This window comes from Homo sapiens, chromosome 1 (assembly GCF_000001405.40).
Source record: "Homo sapiens chromosome 1, GRCh38.p14 Primary Assembly".
In the NCBI taxonomy this organism is placed as follows: Eukaryota; Metazoa; Chordata; class Mammalia; order Primates; family Hominidae; genus Homo; species Homo sapiens.
This window is the reverse complement of record NC_000001.11, coordinates 215,052,005-215,076,682: the sequence shown is the minus strand read 5'-3', so window position 1 is coordinate 215,076,682 and position 24,678 is coordinate 215,052,005. Positions and strand designations below refer to the sequence as shown.

Sequence of the window (24,678 nt, the reverse complement as noted above, 5' to 3'; positions counted from 1 at the left end):
AATATGGCACAAGTGATGGAATATCCCTTTCAGTATTAGGTTACAAACAGTCTGGGGTTTCTCCTTTGTGCTCTCTCTAGCTCTCTCTTGATTCTCTTTCTGTGGTAGAAGCCAGTTTCACCATCATAAATCAACCCTCCAGAGAGGTTCATGTGAGTAAGCCTGCAGGTGGAGCTCCTGAGGCCTTCCAACAGCCATGTAAGTGAGCTTGAAAGCAGGTCCTTCTCCAGTCAAGCCTGGAGAGGACAGTAACCTCAGGCAACACCTTAATTTCAGCCATTTGAGAGACCCTGAGCCAAAACCACACAAGTAAGATGCTTCTGCATTCTTGAGCCTCAAAAACTGTGAAATCATAAATGAGTCTTGTTTTTGCTGCTAAGTTTTGGGCTAGTTTTCTATGCACCAATAGATAACTAATACAACCTCTAAGAGTCTGATTCCAAGCCAGACTATAAAGTTTCAGACCTGATACACAAATTATTTTAAGAAGGCAATTTTTCAAAGGCCAAAATTTATTCATTTTGAAGAATTCATATTCCTAAAATTAGAATGTGTTAATGAGAAGGGAGTTGGACATCACTGGAAGAATGGAAAAGGGAGCGAAGAGGTAAATGTTAGCAATGTCCGTACAAGCATTGTCTACAATTGTAGATTTCAAACTTGAATGTACATTAGAATCACCTCCAGGGATCGTTAGAGCACAGATTATGGGGCCCACCCCCAAAGTACCTGATGCTTCTTGCCTGGGGGGTGGGCCATGAATAACAAGTTCCCCGGTTATTCTGCTGATGCTGCTAGGGCAGGGACCACACTTCAAGAACCACTGGATGAGAGGCAGGATTCTAGTTCATTCTGCCCTGATAGCTTGGTGGTGAGGAACTGGCAGTTGTGAGAAACTGGGCAGTGCTGAAAACCTGGGCTACATGGCAACTCAGGTCCTCTACCAACATGGCTGGCTAGAAATTTGTGGCAGACACTGGCACATAACAACATCCACTTTCAAGCTTAAAAGTGTGAAGTTCAAAAGTTCTTTTGATTTGCAACAGCATTACAAATTTTTTGCCATTTATGCCAATAAATATATGTATTCATTCAGTAAACCAGTACTTATCAAGCACCTACTATGTAGCAGAAAGAGATTTTCCAGTATTTGGGGATATAGTGGTCAAAAAGATGCAACAAATCCTCGTCATCATGGAGTAAACATACTAAGGAAAGAATGACACTAGTGAAACTGTGTCCATATCTATTCAGTAAAACACCATTGAATTCCTGAGTGGGTTTCAAATTAAAGTGCCTCACCCTGAAATTTTTTTAAATGTTACTTTACCATAAAACTTTACAAAATTCATTAAAATTGGCTGGTTCATTTCATACAAATAAAAATTCCTAAAATATATGACATTCAACAATATCTTTTTAACAGCTTTGCATATTTGCTTACATTAAAACAAACATATACACCCAAATATATGAAGAAAGGTAAGTTTTTAAATGTAAACAATGGTCTTTGCTTTATAATAATAGTTCTTAGTCTGATATGATTTCTTTTTAGTTTTGAAAATTCATGCAGGTCAAAACACCCATGTTTTGCATATGAAGATTAGTGCTTTAACCAGTGTACATACAGCATATGTTAATTATTTAAATTAAGATAACATTCATATTTAACTTTGCCCAACAGAGAATAAGATATTGAATAAGGGCATTATAATAAAAAGAAATCTTTATTTAATGATACTCTGTTATACCAGAATAAGTTCAGAAAACATTAGAATTTACTCCATTTTCGGGAGGAAATTCTGCTGTGGGATTTCTTTTTCCCTTTCAAAGCTGAGTGACATAATAAACTCTCACTAGGAAATGAACACAGCATATTTAGACTTCAACGTTTCTTACCTCTGGCATCACAGGTAAATCCTCCACCGACAATCCTCCACCAACAATGAATTTGTCAGATAATTTTTTAAGTGTGCCAATACTAGGCAAAGCAATTATATCAAATGTGATGCTTTTTAAAAGAATCAGCCATAAATCCAGAAGGAACTACAGCATTCTCAGTGTTTCTTGATGACTTTCATTATCTAATGAATTTCTAGCACATCCAGTACTTTATTTGAAACTTATATTTGTTGTGAACATTTGCCAGTCCAGCATTTTGCCTTCACCTGAGATCACAAATTCTGTTAGCACTGAATGTGGCTTTATGAAGAGCAAATCAATACAATTTCCCTTCTAAAATGAATTCACAAGACATAAATGGAATAAAAAAGCAAAAAGAGGATGTATTTGGAATCTCCTAAAGACATTTTTAAATGTGTTCATTAACCAAAGATGTTGACTTCACCCTATATATATGGAATCTAATTCTCCCTTTTACCTTTTTGCATCATGATTAAATGAGCCACATGAGGCTTGCTCAAGACCACTTGTTAAGTTTATGGAAGGATTGAGATTGAAAATCCATGCATCACCCTGGGGCATTTCGTTCTAGAAGAAAACCCTTAAACATACAAGAAAGTGTCTTTTGTGGAATTCCAAAATCTGTTAAGATGGTTGTGTGATCTCCCCAAATTGTACAAAGTGATCAAGGCAAGACTGCCACCACCATTACCTCAGTCACCTCTCCTCAGGCCTCCACTCCACCGATCTCCAGTCCATTTTCCACACTGAGTCATGTGGAACTTTTACAAACAAAATCTGGCTTGAAGTATTGAATTTCTCATTAAAATCCCGCACTAGCTTCCCATTGCCTTCAGGATAGAGACTACATCCCTAAAGGCATCCCAGGGCCATAAACATCCTGTCCTGTCAAGAATAATAACAAGAACAGGAATCATAATATTAAGTAACATCTATCAAGGGCTTACCATGTCCAGCCATTTCACTCAGTATCTCATCTAATCCAAATAAGACGCATGTGAGGTAAACACTGTTGTTATTCTCAAAGAAGTTAAGTAACTTCCCCAAAATAGCACAGCAAGTAAGTCAATACACCTTGCTATATAGGGCCCACACCTGCAGGCTCCATGATTTTCTCTCTGTGGTTTAGTCACTGGCCGGATTCCAGTTTCTTGAATGTATCTTACTCTTCCTTCTTTCCTTAGAGCCTCCACACATACAAGTCCTTCCAGCCTAGACTGTACCTGTCTCCCTCATTACCAGAAAAATAAGTTCTATTTATCCTTCGGACCTCAGTAAAAACACATCTTCCTCAGAAAAGCTCCCCTAACCTCCAAACAAGATCAACCAATGCATCCCAACATATACTCTCACAGCACTCTGCACCCTCCATTTATTACCCCTTTGCAAGAATTATTAGTGCTTGTTCCAACTGTTATTTAGTAACTTTCTGTGTTTCCTAGGGCTGCTATAACAAAGTGCCAAAAACTCATGTAGCTGAAGTAACAGAAACATGTGGTCTGCGGAGTAGAAGTCAGGAATTCAGGTGTCTGCAATTCCTTGCTCTCTGTGGCAGCTCTAAGGAAGAATCCTTCCTTGCTTCTTTTGGGTTCTGGGGCTTACCAGCAATCCTTGGTGTTCCTTGGCTTGTAGACGCAGCGCTCCAGTCTCATGGCCACCTTCTCTCTGTGTGTCTTCACATCCTTTTCCCTTTGTGTGTATCTGTCTCTGTGTCCAAATTTCCCCCTTTTTAAAGGACACCATTCATATTGGATTAAGGTCTATCCTAATGACCTCATTTTAACTTCATTACCTCTGTAAAGACCTTATTTCATAATAAGGTCACATTCTACGGTATTGGGGTTAGGACTTCAGCATATCTTTTCTATTATTTATTGTAGTGGGGGGACAAAACTCAGCCCATAACATTGCCTATAAGACCAAAACAAATTCCAATAGACAAGGGACCTTGTTGTCTTGTTCCTCAGCACAATGTTTTACATGTAGTATGCAAAAAATCATTATTTATTAAATGAATGCAAGACCATCTTTAAGAGGTATATTGTAAGGATGCTGTAGTTAAGCAGAATTCAGAATCTCTGGATTTCCAACACCTACAGCACCAGGCAGGTAACATGCCCACATGAAGTGGGCCCAGAGAACTGGAGAAAATATTCTCATCAGCTTTAGTTGATTACTGCTGTGAGAGAACATAGACCCAGTGTGTTAGACCTTCCAACTTTTCAAGAGAAGCCTGACATCCAAATTGTTTTTAGAAGAAATTTTCCAATTTTAAGAGAGGCAACTAATGCAATTTTAAAAAATAAACATTGTTTATGGCAAATAAAATGTGTTTGCAGGCTAAACATGGTCTTAAGTTCTCCTGGTTGCAGCTTCTGCAAAAGCTCTCTTGCCTGCCACCATCTAAGACATAACTTGCTTCTCATTCACCTTCAGCCATGATTGTGAGTCCTTCCCAGCCATGTGGAACTGTAAGTCAATTAAACCTCTTTCCTATACAAATTACCCAGTCTCGAGTATGTCTTTATTAGCAGCATGAGAACAGACTAATACAGGTAACATCAGATATCCTGTGAGATCACACCGACAATAAAATGCAATGGGTCTATTTACTCATATAGTGTAAGTGTTAAAATATCTCACTTCAACAGCAGTCATGCAGGGCCAGCACTAAGGAGATACTTTCCTCTGGAGTAAAGTGTAAATAGTGTCAAAACACACACTAATCAAAATAAATAATAATGCAATATTTTAAAAATCAACATTAATACAAAACTCCATGTTGAACAAAAGATTACAATTATAGACAAAGGCAAGATCTAACCTTGCACTTGCACAAGTTGGCCTCACTTGCCTTACCCTAATCCTTGCCTGCTTGCCTGTTTCACTGACATTTACCCTCCCCGCTGGATCACTGTTTATGGGACCTGTCTTCTATTGCATTGATTCCCCCTTCCTGGAGCTCCAGGTATTGTGGTACATTACAGAAGAAGCAGCTCCTCATCCACCCAAAATTTTATGCCCAAACATGCATTGCACTGAAATTTTGATGATGCAATTTATGCCTTCTGCAGATTCTTCTGTTCATCTCCCTTCTCTGAAAGAATAAATCATTTCTTTTCCTACAAGGTGGTACCACTCACTTCTGATGGAATTGCTATAATTATAGCTTTCTCCTAGGCTTTTGCTTATTACCTGCTGACTTCTGCAACACTACTAGATGCTTCAGATGGGGATGTGTTTCTAGTCCTGCAACAGCCTGCTACTGGAGCATAACAGATGCAGGCTAGTTACCATGGAATGCTCTTATGTTGATTCAGTTCTCAGCTCGGAAATCACAACTGAAGGGTTTTAAGGCTTGATATTATAGAAAGCACTTCTGACCTTTCCTAAGCAGTCACTCAAAATATAGACACTCTCATCTATCATCCCTGCAAACCCCTCTATGTGATAATGTGCATGATTAGGTAATAACTGAGGACAAAATGTTGATTCAGGGTTGTCACAAGCTTCTCTGAGACCTTGAGAATCACAAGACATGTCAAAATCACACCAGAACTAACACAGCCAATTATGCAAATATATTTATGGAGTGTCAAAACACCCATTGGGAGAACAATTGGAACCAGCATGGAAACTCCACTAGTTCAGAATTCTGCTAACTATAATTTAAATAAAAACAAGATATGATGAGGAAAATTAAGCTTGGCCCTAAGTTCCCATGGAATCTGTTTCTTCATATAGTAGAAGTAAATTAATTAGAAAAATTTAATTACATTAATAATTGATTTGATTAATTTAATTTGCTCAGGACAATTGCCTGATCATATATTCTGAGTATATTCCTCTGTGAAACTTTCCCTCTTCTTTACCTCTGATACATTTGATCGTAATTGCATGTGTCTTGATGTATGCTCATAGCATCTTTTATGCTGTGAGTCTTTTTGTCTGTATGTCTGGCTTCCTCTACTAAACTGAAAGCTAATAGGACAGCTGAAGGAAGGCATCTGATATGGTTTGTCTGTGTCTCTACTCAAATCTCATCTTGAACCGTAGCTCTCATAATTCCCATGTGTCATGGGAGGGACCAAGTGGGAGATAATTGAATCACGGGGTCAAATCTTTCCAGTGCTGTTCTCGTGATAGTGAATAAGTCTCACAAAATCTGATGGTGTTATGAAGGGGAGCTCCCCTGCACAAGCTCTCTTGCCTGCCACCATGTAAGACATGCCTTTTCTCCTCATTTACCTTCAGCCATGATTGTGAGGCCTCCCCAGCCATGTGGAACTATAAGTCAATTAAACATTAAACCTCTTTCCTTTTTTTTTTTTTTTTTTTTTTTTTAAGACGGGGTCTCACTCTGTTGCCCAGGCTGGAGTGCAGTGGTGCAATCTCGGCTCACTGCAAGCTCCGCCTCCCAGATTCACGCCATTCTCCTGCCTCAGCCTCCCAAGTAGCTGGGACTACAGGTGCCCGCCACCACATCCGGCTAATTTCTTTTTGTGTTTTTTTTAGCAGAGATGGGGTTTCACCATGTTAGCCAGGATGCCTACGATCTGCTGACCTTGTGATCCGCCCACCTCGGCCTCCCAAAGTGCTGGGATTACAGGCATGAGCCACCGTGCCCAACCTAAACCTGTTTCCTATATAAATTACCCAGTCTCAAGCATGTCTTTAATACCAGCATGAGAACAGACTAATACAGCATCTCATCTGAATTATTCTTTGATTTCTTAGTGCACATCATGAGTATGCAAATATTTTTTGAATGGGTGTAAGTAACCACCATTACCCCAATACACACAAAATCACCAGTTCTTATTAACTCCAAGAAAGATTACATCATAACCATGACTTTTATCATCAAAAAGCATTTTAATTCACACCAAGGGACTTCGGGTACATTGAAAGTCATTGTGTTCCCTCCATGACCTTCATTATCCCAAGTAATTCTGTTACAACATAGATTCACATGAAAATTAGCATTGTTTACAGATAAAGACTGTGAACTACCTAGATTTGAATTCAGGCCCAGCCAATTGTTAGTTGTGCCTTGGTTTCCTCAGCTGCAAAATAGGGGTGAAAATTATATAAACCCCAACTTGTTAATGAGACCCCAAAAAGTTAACATTTGAAAATGTGTTTAGAATAGTGCCCAAATATATTAAGAACTCAATAAACATTAGTCACTATTAATACTAGTATTACCACTGTCAGCACTGAACCATGGAAAGAGGGAAGGAAGATGGGTCTGGGAAGAGAACACAAAAAGGAGGAGGCCAATTATCCTCTGGGGCTTGGCCCAGAAAACACTGGAAGCTGGCTTTTAGGAATCAAATGAGCAATTGCAATTCAGGAAGTAATCAGGTAATTCAGGTTGCAAAAGAAGGAGTCAAATTCCAGCCCCTCTGTTCCAGAAAGGAGAGGACCCTCCAACTTAGGCAGCTCCTTCCTAGGGCAGGGAGCTTTTGCTAGACACCCTGATGTGGGAAAAGTCCTTACCAGGATGCGGCCAACAAAGCGCAGATAGGTGAGAGCCAATTCAGTTAGAAAGGGAGACAGTAGGGGTGTTCACAAGGCTACACTGGGTGTCTACGCATCTATCCTCACTGTTAAAGATGTGAGGATGCCACCTTCTTTACAATGGACATACTCAGATTTCCCTGAGTACATTTGTACTGCTGCTATCTGAAACTGTCCATTAAATTGTATTGACTTTATTTTCCATCTCCTTAGCAACCGTGATTGCTTTAAATGCTTTGGGTTTGCTTGATTTTTGTTTCCTTTCATTGTTATCAATGTTGTTTTCTGGACACTGATAAAACTTTTCCACAAACAGGATTTCAGTTAAAGTAAAACTTTTGTAGCCCCAAATAGCTGGTTGCTAAGGGGATCAAAGTGTGAAAATAACAAATAAACACAATAAGGGCCCCAGGAAGGGAGTTTTCTATTAAGTCAACAGGTATAATATGTATATACTACTAAGACTCATATGTTATACCTGTTTCTTCTTTGCAGATTTACCAGGGATGTCCCTTATCCCTATCAACCCAGTATCACATTATGCTCATCTTAATTAAGACTGAGATGTCAAATGTTTATTGTTCTATTTTTAACAATTGCCAATGCAAATCTACCAGCCACCAAGTGTAGCTATTAATAGAATAAATTATATTTTTGTTTGTTTGTTTTTGTATCTACCCCAACAATGGAATGCTAAGTTTTTTGGTGTCTTTTTGTTGAGTGAAAAACAAAAACAAAAAACCTTGTTTAGTGTTTAGTGTTTTCTATTGAGAGCCAATAGTGCATTGTTCAGATTCCAGAATGCCTTGCCAACCTTCTTGGTAATTAACTGTAGTGTTTCTTTCGCCTGAAGTAATAGATGTCCTCTGTACCATTTTCATATGTGGCATTATATTCTTCATATACTGTACCTGCATATTTCTGGCAATGTGAATCTTAACTCCACATGTCTTATCTGGTGACAGTGGCCCCAAAAATTCAGTTTGGGGTTGAGTACCCCTTTACTATGTTCTCATAACACATAGTAGGAATTACATAAGAATTGAAACATCATTATCATTTATATAGTACTACACTAAACACTCCAGAGAGTGGGTGATTAATATATGAAAACCAGGTAGCCCTTACTGAAGAGTTGGATATCTAGCTGGGGAGATACATTTCCAAGAAATTAAAAAAAAAAAAAAGAAAAAGAAACATAAAGACAACAGACTTGGAGAAGACCATATAGAAACATATGCTAAGGTACATAACATTTATTGAAATAAATTACATGGGCGAATTTCCCAGTTGTATTTTGAGGATCTCTCACTAACAATATTTTGTTTGCAATTAGTTTGAAATATTAAATATGAAAGTAATTTTTTTTTGAGATGGAGTCTCACTCTGTCACCAAGGCTGGAGTACAAGTGGCACCGTGTCGGCTCACTGCAACCTCCATTTCCTGGGTTCAAGCAATTCTCCTGCCTCAGCCTTCCAAGTAGCTGGGATTACAGGCACCCACCACCACGTCTAGCTAGTTTTTATATTTTTTTAGTAGAGACGGGGTTTCACCATGTTGGCCAGACTGGTCTTGAACTCCTGTCCTCAGGTGATCCACCTGCCTCAGCCTTCCAAGTAAGTAAATTTTTAAAAATTCAACAAGTGTGATGATTTTTTTGCCATGACTCTGACCTAGATTTCCTCAAAGTCTTCTAGGAAAGGGTCCTTATAGAGTCAATCATTCTATTTAGAAGCCATTACATATGATTGTGATCATCACATATTATTGGGAGTATTTGTTATATCCCTCTTCCCTCTTGACAATGAGGTCCTTCAGGTAGAGTCCCCATAATCCTAATACTTGTGTTCTCAATGTCTAATGCATGGTAGATTCTCAAACTATTTCAGCAGCCTCAGAGACTTTTTTAAAAAATTATATATATCATGTAATTTTTTAAATTGATAAATAATAATTGTACATACTTAATGGGATACATGTGATATTTTGATACATGAATTATGTAAATGTTTATTTAGTAAATATTTCAAAGTACAAAAAAGAACTGAAGATAGTATAAACCTGGATTTTAAAAGTACTAACAGTTGGCGGACTTGCTTTAGATAGATTTCCTCCTTTTGAGGAAAAACAGTTACAGCCATAGTCCCAGTTCAGCCCAGCCCACCCCGTTCGTTTTTTTCTTTCCCCTCTCCACAAAATAACCACTCTCCTGGAGTTGGTGTTCATCTTTCTTGTGGGAATAAATGTATTTTTCTGATGTATGTATGTGACCATAAAAATATAAAGTGTTTTAAAATTTACAAAAATTATATCATATGAATTTTTTCAACTTTATTTTTTTATTGAAAATGTATGTTGTCAAGATTGACGCATGTTGAGACATGCAGAGCTTTTTCTGAATGATACATTTTCCCTAATCAAATTTAGAGTAAAAATCCTTATCCTCCAAAATCTACTACCTGGCCTGAAGTTATAAAAAATAAAAGAAGATTCCGAGGCAAAGAAAAAGGGGCAGAGTCCTTTTCACACATTTTCACACTATCAGACTACCTTGGTCAGCCCTCTCTACTGACTATTGCATGGAAGCAAAAAATCCCGAGTTTAGAGCCAGGAATCAGAAATGAGAGGCAGGCTTGAATTACCAGGCAGGCTGGTCCAAAGAGCCACACCAAAAACAGCCCCACAGCCACCAGATTCACACTCACTTTTGAGCACTGGCAAGGAAAAGAGGTGGATTCTCTTTTGAAATTTCTTTAATTTTTTTTAGCAGTCTAATTTATGTCTTTATTAAATAGTATTTCTCAGTATCCATATTGATTTTGGTTACGTTCAGTAGCCAAAATAAACAGGAATACAGGGGTAAATTTGGTAGACTTTTAAACAGTTATATCATATGTTTCTATCAATTATTTTGTGCACTTATTCTTTTATTCAAACAGGAAATTATTGAATATCAGTTATATCTTTTTTTATTGTACTTTAAGTTCTGGGGTACATGTGCAGAACATGCAGGTTTGTTACATAGGTATACACGTGCCATAGTGGTGTGCTGTATCCATCAACCCGTCACCTGCATTAGGTATTTCTCCTAATGTTATCCCTCTCCTAGCCCTGCACCTCCCAACAGGCCCTGGTGTGTGATGTTCCCCTCCCTGTGTCCATGTGTTCTCACTGTTCAACTCTCACTTACGAGTGAGAACCTATGGTGTTTGGTTTTCTGTTCTTGTGATAGTTTGCTGAGAATGATGGCTTCCAGCTTCATCAATTTTTTTAGAGACAGTCTTACCATGTTGCCCAGGCTGGACTCAAACTTCTAGGCTCAAGCAATCCTCCCAGTTCAGCTTCCTGAGTAGGTGGGACTAAAGATGCATGTCATTACATCTGGCTTTCTTTGAAATTTTAGAAGAGACATCCTTCCTTTCTTTCCTCCCACTTTTCTTCCAAAAACATATATCTTGTCACTAGCCAGACCAAGTCAAAGCATGGGTTACTGATGCAAGGTGTCCAAATTTTGCCATCTAATAAAGATATATAACATTTGTAAGAACAAGGCACTGACTTAGAGAGACTTGGTAGTTAATTACATGAACAAGTTCCTAAAATCGTTTGCCTTCACAAATCCCTTTTACCATGTGGTTCCTGGGCACCTAATTCTCATTTAACATGAAACTGAGGCATTAAGAAGTCATAATTTACCTCTAGTCAGTAACAAGACATCAGGGCTAAGGAAAGAACTTGGTTTTGAGGTCCTAAATGCTCCAATAAATATATTTCATATCTCAATTCATGAATTTGATGCTTAACTTCACTTCTTCCTTTTCTTTTTTTTTTCTGAATATTTGGGTAAGGCTAAAGATCAAGTCTAAGTCATTTGTGGAAATTTAAAGAGCATATAAATTTCTCTGTAACTTCTGGTTCACAGGTGTACATATTTAAAGAACAAATGTACAAAATCAAACTTTGAAACCAGATAAAATAGATGACAGCCGCTGGCTTTGTAAGATTTATCTCAGGGCTTCTACAAATTAGGAGTGCCCCTAAAAATCTTGTTCCATTTTCAGAGTTCTGTTTAGAAGAAACTTTTAAAATACTTTCTGAAAGTATTTAGATAGATATGTAAAAGTAAGAAAACAAAGCCTTGATTATATAACGTCTAATTTCCCAGCTTAGAACTACTTTAAATAAACACTATATTGAAATACCTAAAACGTTTAAATCCTGTATTACTTTCAAAGATTCCCCAAATCAAATAACAAATGAACCTGTTTGACAAAACACAGTTAATATTTAAACACTTTAACACAATACTGTGACATCCCACAAACACAAGAAATAAAGAGGGCATATAAGGGCAAGAAATTGGGAGGAAGAGGAAGTTAGAATCTTTTCTGTTTGGAATGGCAAAGGAATGTAATAATATAATATAATTACAAGATAGGGACTTCAGAGTGGACATGTCAATACAAAACAACTGTGCTGTCAATGAAGCTTGGCCTTGACGTTAAAGAAAAACAGAGTGGCCCCTGTTTCTCAGCTCCCTGAAGACGATACTCTTAGATGGTATCATCCTCTTCTTCCCTGACCCAGGTGCCAGCAAGCCATGGTTTTCTGTGTTACCTGCATTTCTTTAAGGATCAGCTCTATGTCTGAGTAGTGAGCTCCCTGGAAAATACTGAACAAGTCCAGGCCGGTTGGAATCACCCAGGGAAGCCAATGGTGCCTCGTGCAAAATCTAGGCAGTGGATACTGCAGTCTCATCACCGAGGTGATGCAGTCAAACATCCTGTCTAGGACTTGGGCAGTTTCTAAATTTTCTGAACTACATGAAATCCAGTTGTTTAAATTTTTTTGGTTGGATTCATATTACACACACACACAAACAAAAACACGTACACACACACACAAACAAAAACACGTACACACACACACCCCCGAGGCATTATAGCACAAAAAATTGTTGAAAATGAAAAATTGCACACTTTTGTCCCAGTTTTCAAGATATTTTAGATGTTACAGGTAAAAGCAGTACTTTAGCATAAATGTTTCACACGGAATCTCCTTTCTCTAATTTTCTTTGCACTACCACAAGTGAATCAACATAGCTTCCTTCTATTACGATCAAAAAAATGCTAAAAACTTGATAGATAACAGTGATTTATTTTTCCTCAGTCTTGTCACACACACATTCCCCTCATACACACATCACAGTACTTTTCCTACGTTTAAACTCTACTCAAGCGATTTCATCCATAAAATCTTCCCAGACATGCTCCGTATGCCTCTTGCCCCTCTGGTGACACTTTATCTGTGACCTTTACAAATCTAACCAGCTGTTAATTTTGGTTTCCCTTTGAAAATATTGTGAAGGGAGCTCTGTTTCTTTGCTTTCTTTCTCCATTTCCATTTGGCACCCTATCCCTCCGGTTCTAATGCTTGCCAGGACCCTCAGTATGACACTTCCTTAAGGAAAAGAAGGCTAATGTACCGTGTATTATGCCTCTCTTCTATTCTCGTCCCAATCACAAGAGACCTGCTCTCATGCCATTCTCTCAGAGGAGTCTGAGCGAGAGAGGAGTAGCTAACGTGGTATATTAATTTACGATCATTGCTTCTTTCAGACAATATAGGTGCATTTCAAGGAGGTCTTCCTCAGAGAATTTAATGGTATTATTACTGTTAGCACAGTTCCTCCCTGAAAAAGCAGGAGAAAGTAGCTTTCAGGTAATCATGATATGTTGAGTAGAAAGTCCAAAATGCAAGCATTCATGGAGATGAGGATGGGGACAGGTGAGCAAGATGGACCTGTTACCTCATCCTGTTCACCTGGGTGACTGCAGCAGTCTCCAAGTTGGTGCTCCTGCCACCACCGTATCTGTTTCTAATCTTTTCTCCTTGCTGTGGTCAGACTACAGCTCTGACAATAGTACAATCCAGCTGAAAACCTGCCAGTGGCTTCTCACAGCCTTAGGGATAAAATTCAAGCTACTGGCAAGAAATAGAATGTTCTTCAATTGCATGTTTCTCCAGCTTTGTATTCTGTCTTGCTGCTGCAGTACCCTAGTTCCCAGCTTTATTATTGTTTATTGCTTACCGTTCCCACAAACAGACCACTCTCCCATTCTTCATTCTCTCACTCCTTGACCCAAATCCATCAGGCTAACTTCCACTCAACCTTCAAAATTCTTTCCAAGATTGAGCATTGCTTTCCCTGTTTTTCCTTCTCTCACAGGAACCTTTCTGGAATCCTTCTTCTAGACCCAAGTTTATCCTTTTCATTCTTATCCCATTGTATTGTATGTCCTCATTGGTTTTCTGGTGTGTTCATTCTCCTATAAAATCAGGGTCTCTATCTTTTCCTTCTTGTATTTCAAAATTTCTGACCGGCACCCAACACATAGTTGAGTTGGTGTTGTAATACATGTTTAAAGAGTGAATAAATGAGTTTGGAATCAGCAAAAATTAAAAATACCAAAGAAATTTAAAAGCAGGCCTTTAATTTAAACAAAACTTCTGTGGTCTTATTTGCACAGTTCTGTAGCCAACTCTCTCTCAATAGTGATGAAATTAACTTTAGCCCATCCCACATCTAATTATCATAAATAAAACTCTAAGCCTAAAACAAGAACTCTACACCTGAAATGATTTAGATAGTATCTAAATCACTCACTATCTAAATCATATCAGGTGTAGAGTTCTTGTTTCCATGTTCATCCCACCTTCCCCTTAGAGGTTGCCCTTTTTTGAAGTCTGATTCGATATTTATTTTCCCAGTGTGTTCCACCTGTGTGTAAATATCTGATGTTGTAGACTAGCTATGGTACTAGCCATAGGATTCAACAAGTTTAGCTCATGAGCTGAGCACATGCCTTCTTCATATCTGAAATGGTTTAAACTGATCCAAAGTAGTACAGTAAAACAAAAAATTCAAACCAGTACTGACTGCCTTTGTTTGCTGCCCAGCATTCATCTCCTCTCTTTAAATTAAAGCCCAGACTCTTATCTTGTCTTTGGTTTCCAGTATAATGTTTTTTATTCCCAGAGAGCAATTTTCGGCCTTTTGAACAGGCTTAGACAATTAACTCTGTCAGAGACCTGTCTGGTGTTTAATGAAAGCCATGTATTGGTTAGAGCAGAAAGGGAGAGTGTTACCATTATAATCATAATGTTGTGTTGAAGATTGTTAGCATCTATTATTATATTACAAATTACTTCAAACTGTTGTATAATTTATTAATAATTTTTAGAATTTAGAGGCTGTGTTTAATTAATCAATCTATAATTCCAGGATGATTTCCTTTTAAAAGTAAAACAAATGAAATCCACTAATTATTCCTTCTTTATTCCTCCTACCCTTAGACAATTTCCTACATAATTTTCTCCTAAGAAGCATCCTGAGCCATGGAATCTCAGTCTTATCCTTTATTATTAAAACTAACTAGTAACAAGGACAATCATCTTTTATTCTGAAATTTTTTTTAAAAAAAAATGTACTTCCCTTTTAAATCTGTTGAATTATCCAAACTACAAAATTAACTCTAAAATATTTTTATATGAAGGCCCCAAGAGTTGCTGCTAGTGAATTGATTAACTTTCAATTCTCAAGACAATTTGCATACTTGACAGACTATCAGAAGTTTCTTTTTAAAGCTTTATAAATGATTTTTGAATCACAAAAATCCCATGCCAGTAAAGCAATTAAAATACTTGTTCTTTGTCTGGAGATTTTTTTTCTTTTAACTTTTAAACCCAGAAACATGTGATAGTCTTATTTCTGAACCCATTCCTCCCAAAAAACCAAAGTCCCTTTAAGAGGAACATTGAAACTAAATTTGAAAAAGAAATAAACCATATAAATACTGGTAAACTCACACTTCTAACTAATTTCAAAATTTAAAGAATGACAAACTTGATTTTTTTTTTTACATGAAAGCTGAAAGCAGATGCTTCAAAACATTTTGACAATTAAGCCAAGGCCATATTGTTTGAAGTTGATACTTGGTGGTAATGACAAATCCATTAATACTGAACTTTCATTCTCATATAAGCTAGTTAACATATTACCATTTCCTGACTGATTAGATAAAATTGCAAAGTTTTATGTATACACAAAAGTATTTCTAATAGGAAAAATGGTGTAGTAAGTTTATGTTCATCATTAGAGCAATGGTCAAAAAATCATAATATCTATATGTTGTTGTATATTATATACACGTTAAATACTATTTTTGAAGGTATGTATTTCTATTAAAATACAGTTGTGTGATCCAAGTTTTCCTAACATTCATGTCTTCTGTAATCAGAAAACTTACTTAGAAATTTTAAAAATATATAAATAATCTTCTAGTTGCACAATCATATAGTCTTAATATTTAGCTTAAATAGTTCATTGTGTTCCTAAATTTATTCTTTCATATTTTTATAATGATGTACCTAAGAAACCAGATTCTGTGCTAATATTATTAGTCCCATATTTTATAGAGAAGGTAATTTATATTCAATGAACACCCAAGTCATCAGAACAAAGAATGAGTTTCAAGTGAACACTGTGGACTAGTTGATACAAAAGTAACACACACTGCTCCCGGGCATGTAGATAAATATAGATTCATAATTTTTTTCTACGGCTACTCTGATCTTCCTCAAAGCCCTCACCTCCTACATGGCATGAACGTTTCTTAAAAGGAAACCGGATCCAATTAAGTTTTAAAGTATATTTTTGAGCCAATAACGTATACCCTGCATCTAGGTGTTACTCAGTCCTTTGGGAACATTTGCACTGGCCTTCAGACTCTTTTCTTCTTTTGATCCTTTCAAAGACAGTGTCTAGGCTACAAGAAAATATTTACCTCATCTCTTGGTGGCAGGAGGATAGAATCAACTGGTCATGCCACGCCTTCGTTGTGCATTAGCTGATGCCTCTGAAGTATCAGCCTGGTCTCTCCTGGAGCCTACTGCTAGCATCTCCCCTTGACTCCTCTGGCCAATACATCTAGACTCATTTTTCTCTGTTTAGTTGCGGCCGAGGTTCTGCCTGCTCATTTAGCCTCCTCTCAGCGCTTTCTGGCTGGCACTGCGGACTGAATCTCTGCCAGGTCTACAGGTCCAGGGCAGGCCTGTTGGCTCTCACCTCAGTACCTGAGCCACAGGGAAAGTGAAGGGAGCAAATATCACAACTAAGAGGAGGGAGTACCTTTACTTTCTGTCACAACCTGGACACTCCATGTCCCTGGCCATGCTGATGTGCCGTCAACTGCATCGGAAGCCCCATGCCCATCTGTCTACATTGCCTCAGCACCTCCCTGCTGGAGGGTCTCCTCTCTAAAAGGGAACAGATGCCACAGAACGTCAGCCATGGGTGTTCCCCAGGCTTATGTAACACACACATCTGAAGTCCTGGGGTTCAGACCAGAGGAGAGAAGAGGATGCATTTCTGGATTCTGACCTTCTACCTCCCAGTTCTTCTTTTCTATCTTTCTCCCCTTGTCTAGGCCCAGATAACATGGCCTTGTCTTTTACTTCCTCTTCTTTTTGCCCACAAATAAAATTCTGTGATCTAGTTGGGCCAGGCCTTTTGAACCATTAAATGGGAGCTATAGAATTTTAGAAAATCATTTCTCTTTCAACAGTCTCCAAACATTTCTAATCCCAATTTCACCCCAAGGCGATGGATACCTTGAGCTGACTTGGGAGAACTGTGTGTACATTGAAAGTAGAAAATATCTTATTAATATTTTTCTCTATATAGTATATAATGCTATTTTTCTGACTATTGACTTAGCAAATTTTACTCATTACTAACTTACCAAATTAAGGGAGCACTCGGAAGGCTTTCAGACTTATTGGCTTAAATATAGGGTTGATTACCTATAAATTTCAAATACTGGCAAGGATTCTGTGTTCAGAGGTTAAATCATTAATTCAGCAGCGTTCACTAAAGTAATAATTAGGTTCAGATTATATGCTGCACACATCTCTTGGCACTAGGGAAAGATTCTGTGAACTAGATGGGCAAGGCCTCTGCTCTCCTGGAGCTAAAATTCTAGGGACAGGGGGAAATAAATATGTATGTGTGTGTGTATATATATATATGTGTGTGTATATATATACACGAATATATATATGTATGTGTGTGTATATATATACACGAATATATATATGTATGTGTGTATATATATATACACATGTATATGTGCATACACACACACATACATACATACACTCACACACAACAGAAAAACAAGTGAGAAGAGCTCATGTAAAGAAACAAAATAGTGGACTGTGACTCAAAAGACTGAGTGACTTTCACATGGAGAGGTCATCTAAAGCCCCTCAGAGAGTGACTTCTAAGCTAAAATCAGGATGACAAGAAGGAGTCTGGCTATGAAGATAAGAAAGAAAAGAAACAGGCATTCAAAAGGCCCTAAAGGGGAAAAGAACAACACTTGGCAAGTTCAAGAAACATAGAGAAAAACATCTTCACTGTGGCTCCAGGGTAGATTGCAAGGAGAAAAGTGGAATGAAATTGGAAAGGTCAGGGGGGCGATTATGTAGGGCTTTGTAAACAAGGAGAAAGGGTTTGGATTTTAAACATAGTACAATGGGAAGCCACTGCAAAGGTTTAATTGGAAGTGGGGGATTACTTTATCTTTGAAGAAAGATTGAAGGAGGCAAAAATGGAAACAAAGGTCGTTATAGAAATCCTTGTGGTAGTGAGGTAGTAGAAACAGGTAGTGGATAAGTTTAGCGCATACTTTGGAAGTAAAAGTAACAGGATTTAGAATTATTGATGGGTGAGAGAAAGAGGAATCACGAATTCTCTGAAAAGATATATAGAGGAGAAAAAGCATATATCCAACTCCAATCTGCATAACTAATGGTCCTGCATTCTGTCTTCAATTAACTCTCAGCTCCTGCTGCTAAAAGACAGAAGTGCAAGGTGCAATCCTGTATCCCCTAAAAGGAAAAAAGGAAGAGGGAAAAAGTCACAAACATGAGGAGTGAGGACCTCTGCCAACCAGTGAATTGCAAGTATTTATCTAGTGAAGGGGCATGGCTGTGAGAAGGACAGAGAGATGGTATCCTAGAAGAGAGCTTGAGGCAAAGCTTCAATTAGGTCCACTAGCATTCAAAAACAAATTTCTCATGTTCTCCTTTTCCCTTTTCATTCCTCATAGTCTACTTTCCCACTCCCTATTCCTGGGGCTGCTTCTCCATCTCTTTATTATTCTCACTTTTGCCCTTCATCATCCTCACCATCATATTGTCAGCATCCCCCTCACCATCACCCTCATTGTCACTACTATTCACTGAGCACTAAACTGGTACACATTTATTGTCTGAATTATTTCTTGCAGCTTCCCTGTAAGGAAGATATGATTAACCCCCTTTGGGCTTGGTGAGATGAAGCAGCTTGCCCAAAGTTGCCAGGCCAGGGAGCAAAGCCAAAATGTGCAAACAGGTCTGTCTGACTCTGAAGGCAGTGTTCTCATCCTATCCTCCACTGCTGTACAGCACCCTTCTCCTTCCTGCACTGCCCTTTCTCTCCCTGATGCAGCCCCCAAGCTTTCTTCTCTTACCTTTGTTTCTTCCATCTTGCCATTGTTAATATGGAATTTTCTATTATTATAAACAGAAAATAGAAGCTATAGACTATTCAAGCAGAAAGAACTTCAGTGGTGGAGTCAACATAAAAGCAGGTCACTGTAGCTTCCACTCCACAAAATCACTGTTCCTAATGTACAGATACAGATTGAGGCAGAAACCATATATTTCACTGTCACCCATGTGGGTCCTGCCTCAGCTGTCACACCCAAAGCCATGCTGTTTGCAGAGACTCTACTCCTTCTGCCCTGCTCCTTCTACCCTGACCTCCAGTTCAGTTCCTCTGCATTTATGGGACATTTGTTGTATGCCTAACCAGGGTTATAAGCACTTAAAAGATCATTTTGCATCTTTTTTAAAAAAATATGATTATCCTATAACTCTTTTATGCTTAAATATGCATATCTCAACTTCACTCCAAAAAAAAAAAAAAAATACTTGTACCTCTGGTTTGCTATTGTCCCAAGCATGGGCTTAATCCAACTTTGGGGTAATAGGCAACACAATGAATATAGCTAGGAAATGGCTAGGGGCAGGTTTAGGAAAGGAGTAGCAGTGTATACATTTAAAAAAGAATGAAAAGGCAAAGTAATAAACTTACACAAACTCACTCTTAGCTAGATAGAGGTTAAGTCATTTACATGTAGTTCTTAAATAAACATTTTAGATAAATACTCATATTATTCCTATTCTACCTATAAAGCAGTTTAGTTTCTATGATAGTAAACATTTTAGATAATTACTCATATATTCCTATTCTATCTATAAAGCAGTTCAGCTTCTGGGATAGTAAGCAGGATTTGAATGTGGTTCTGTGGTCTCTGCAGCCTGACTGAACTTTTTACCCCATGTACATCCTGCCTCGAAAATAGAGTGGATGACTGGATGTGATGGCTCATGCCTGTAATCCCAACACTTCAGGAGGCTGAGGCAGGAGGATCATTTGAGTCCAGGAGTGCAAAACCAGTCTGGGCAACATAAGGAGACCCCATCACTACCAAAAAAAAAAAAAAAAAAAAGAGTGGACACAATCCTTTACAAATCTTTTATACATTAAAACATTTACATGACTATGGCATTATTGTATTAACTCATTTCTCTCCTTCTTCTTCTTTTTTTTTTTTTTTTTTTTTTTGAGACTGAGTCTCACTCTGTTGCCTGGAGTATAGTGGTACAATCTTGGCTCCCTGCAACCTCCATCTCCCAGTTTATGTATACAACAAGGTACTCTTGATAATCTTATGCCTCTAGTTTTCTTTTATTTTTAGTGTCATTATAAGCCACCCCTTCAGGTAATATGAATTTCTTTCCTTTTTTTTTTTTTTTGAGATGGAGTTTCACTCTTGTTGCCCAGGCTGGAGTGCAATGGCGCGATCTCGGCTCACTGTAACCTCCCTCTCCTGGGTTCAAGCGACTCTCCTGCCTCAGCTTCCTGAGTAGCTAGGATTACAAGCATGCACCACCATGCCCGGCTAATTTTGTATTTTTAGTAGAGACGGGGTTTCTCCATCTTGGTCAGGCTGGTCTCGAATTCCTGACTTCAGTGGCTGATCTGCTCACCTTGGCCTCCCAAAGTGCTGGGATTACAGGCATGAGCCACCACTCCCAGCTGACATATTTTTAAAAATGAAACGCAGATGAATTTATCTTTGAGGTGACCTTAGGCTTTAAATTTTTAAAGCCTAACTTTGACTTTAGGATTTGCAGCCCACAAGCCATTGTACATAAAAGAGAAATCTCCAGGAGTTTTCTGTGCCACAAGGGAAGAATCCATCAAGGACAATGCCATGTATAATCACTGAATTTAAATTTCCACGTTCATTGGTTGTAGCCATTTCTCAAGTACATCAAAAGGTCAATGGCAGGTGCCAAGCATTCCTCTGCTAGACCTAACAAACATTCCTACCAGATACAGAAATCCAACCAGGAAGCAAAGCGTTTGAACTGCCATGAATGGAGGGTGGGAGGAAAGCATGGAAAGAAGAAAGACTAGAAAACTTTCTCTTTATTCAAGTGGAGAAAAGTGAGACCTTAAAGAATATAGGAAGCTGTAAAGGGCATCCTGGGGCCTATTTTACTTCCTCATAATAAAATGAAAGCTCTTCAACCAGTAACTAGAAAAGCAGGTTCCTTTCCTTTGTTACCTACATGAGCTCCTGAGAATGTAAATGTACTTGAAGCTACAGAAGCAGTTCTGTGGGGATGCTGTATTGCATCTTGTTTAAAACCAATGAGCAGTGCAACATTCCTTTTTTAGTTCTTTTTCATAGCTTACTTTGTATTCATGAATAACTGATATGTGTCATATCCTCTGTGAAATGGGAACACATTCTGAGCATGTACTGAGAATTTCTAATTGCAAACAGTGATTGGGACATAAAAGACACTCGTGTAAAGGTGCCATGAACAGACTCAAAGAGTGATAAATCTTAAGTCTTTCTTTGAGGTGTACCCAGGTATACTGGTGGTATATTTTAAGAGACAAAGTACCATAGATACTTTTAAAATAACACAAACTAGTTATTCAAGGTCAAAACTTTCACAGTTTCCATGTATTTTAGATTTAATAATAAGTTATGATATTCATATAATGTGCCTAAATAAGCAATCCATCTGATCCAATTACCACAGAATTTTAATTCTATGTTCATTATTCAAATTAGTGATTTAACACTTGAGTTGTGTGCTCAAGGTTCAAATTAGTGATTTAATGATATGGTTACATGAACATTCATAGTATTTGGTAAAGACAAGTAGAAACAAACCTTGTGGGAAGAATACATTAGAAAAAATGAAAAACAATTTAAAGTACACATGCACTGAGAAGAGTCTTTTTGAGCAAGCCTTGATTGGTTTGTGTGGAAAAAGGCTAAAAATTCCCCCCTTATAACTCAAAACACGTCTCCATTCAGGTCATATTTTCATTGTCTCCACAGATTTACATGGTTTGCATTATCACTTGTTATTTATAGAAAAATACACCCTGGCTACCTTGACACAGAACTTGCAAACTTTTCCCTCTGCACAGTAACTCACGGTTGGTGCTTTCCTGTCCCCAGCAAAGCTCGGTAGAACAGCGGTGGGTGTGCAGTGCAGCCTACCGGAGAATCGAAAATCTCAAACATGCATCTGGTATATGTGTGAGGAAGCTAAGTTCCCTATACACTGAACAGAATGTGGCACCTTTTATACTCATGTGATGAATTACGTGTTCCTGGTGCAGGGATGGTCCTGAAGACAAAGCAGCCTTTGAAAAACTCTCACCAGTTTTCCAAATTGGCCTGGGGGTTTCTGCAATCAGAGCTAACATTTAAAAGGAGCTGTGTGTAAGTAACTCTTTCAGACTTGGTGGAGAAAGACTCAAAACTCCCTTTGACAGTCTTCTACCTACCAAATTCCTCTCCACCAAAGAACATGACATTGACAATTCTGCATTAAGGGAAATATCGGCAATCATAGGTTTCTTTAATCATGAATTAATACCTAGAGAAATAGCACAGCTCGAATAATATAGCTGCAGCTCAAAAATTACAGACTTGTATCTTATGCTGTCTGTGCTATCATTTATTTAAGGTGAAAACTGATTTTGATTAACTGAGAAAACTCACAGCTTTAAACTCCTCAATACACTCAAAGCACAACAGTCAGGGGTTGTACTTTGTTTTTTTGAGATGGAGTCTTGCTCTGTCGCCCAGGCCGGAGTGCAGGGGTGCTGTCTTGGCTCACTGCAACCTCCGCCTCCCGGCCTCCAGAGGTTCTCCTGCCTCAGCCTCCCGAGTAGCTGGGATTACAGGCATGCATCACTATGCCCGGCTAACTTTTGTATTTTTAGTAGAGACAGGGTTTTGCCATGTTGGCCAGGCTGGTCTCGAACTCCTGGCCTTAAGTGATCTGCCTGCCTCGGCCAGGGATTGTACTGAGTTCAAGAATATCTATCTAAGGCTTTTGCTCTACCTTTGTAAGCTAGAAACACAATGCAAAAGAGAGGAAGCATTCATTTATTTATCAATTTTTCATTTGCTAGAATTTCCTGGTTGCAATTGTGATTTGAGTTCAAGCATAGAAATATCACTTTTCCAGAGGAATTCTCTGTTCAGAAAAACATTCAATATCTTGTACATTTAACATCTTCCACCATTTGTTTTAATTTGCCTTGTCCACTTTATCTCTTATCACCTACTTGTCTGTTCATTTGTTCATTTACTGCTTAGTCAACAAAGTTCCCAATGGCTAAACCCGGGTCCTAGCCCACGCCAGAGCCTCAAACATTTGTCAGTTGACTGATTGATTTCTGCTATCTCCCTGCCCACCACCCAGAATACCTAGGGAAGATGCATCAGTCACTGTCACTCTTATCCCAGCAGAATTTCCTGGGATAAGAAAGACATGTAGCATTCCCTTCTGAGAGTTTGGTTTTCATGTCTTTCCATGGACTTGTTCACCTTGCCTGCATTTTACAAATGGAAGCCACGGACTCATCGTTAAATGGCTGAACTAACCTGCACGTCCTGCACATATATCCTGGAACTTAAAATTAAATTAAATTTATTTTTTAAAAAAAGAAAAGAAAAGAAACCAAAAAAACCTGCAGGTGAGAACATGAGAAGTTTGCATCCTCTGACTTTGGAGAAAATGAGTAACTTATTGCTCATCTCCTGCATCCAACCATCCAACTTTGACATAACTACTGTTTATAGAAAAGAAAAAAAGAGGAATCTGGTACTCTGGCAAAAACTCAAGAGAAATATCCACAATTATGCTCATCTATCATATGCTACTTAATTCTACCCAATAGTCATGATGCAAAACTGTTCCTCCTCCATTCTTCCTCATCACAAAAATAAATGACTAATAAATACTATTCTCTCATTGCTGATGTCCCAAACCTAGGAATCTACAATCCTTTCCCATGACTTCTAATCCAAGGTTTCTCAACCTTGGCACTGCTGACATTTTAGGGGGCTAACAATTCCTGTTGTAGAGGGCTGTCCTGTTCATTTCAGGATATTTAGCAGCATCTCTGGCCTCTGTATGCTAGTAGCACCTCCACAGTTATCACCAAAAAATGTGAGCATACATTTTCAGATATCCACTGGGGTTGAAAATCACCCCCTGTTGAGAACCACTGAATCTAATAGCAAGTCTTGAAAGCTGAAATTCCAATGTTTATCCTGAATCTGAATCTCTCCCACAAAATCCATCATGTGACCTAGATCTAAGCCACAGCTTCTCTCACTTGGACCACTACAGTCCTTTTCCATTGCATTCCATCAGTCCATCCTCTGCTCTATAGGCAGTGTGATATTTTTAAAACTGCAATCAAGTTATGTCATTTCTCTTCTTAAAAACTTCTAATGGCTTCTTGCTACATTGAGAAATGCTCACTCTACCACCACCTAGAACCAACCTGCCCCCATCCATGATTCTCTAGTTTCACCGGTTTCACCCTGTGTTAATTTTCGGTGTGTTTACATTCATCATCTCTATTTGAAATTATATTACTTGTTCATTTTTCACCTGTCTCACCTGCTATAATGTAAGCTCCATGACAGGAAATATCATATCCATATTATTCACTGCAATATCACCCATGGGCTAGAGCAGCCACCTGGCACATAGTAGGTACTTAA

General features: G+C 38.3%; 1 protein-coding gene across 2 annotated transcripts in view, besides 1 other annotated feature; it reads right to left on the bottom strand.

The window, feature by feature from the left end:
* KCNK2 (potassium two pore domain channel subfamily K member 2) overlaps positions 1-24,678 on the bottom strand; it is a 231,549-nt gene that overhangs the window by 160,408 nt on the left and 46,463 nt on the right. The window lies entirely within an intron of this gene.
* Positions 20,608-21,326: an enhancer, noted in NCBI's record as "OCT4-NANOG hESC enhancer chr1:215228700-215229418 (GRCh37/hg19 assembly coordinates)". NCBI's record gives its function as "activates a minimal SCP1, AML or CMV promoter by ChIP-STARR-seq in primed H9 embryonic stem cells {active_cell/tissue: H9 hESC(primed)}" and the evidence as "EXISTENCE:reporter gene assay evidence [ECO:0000049][PMID:30033119]".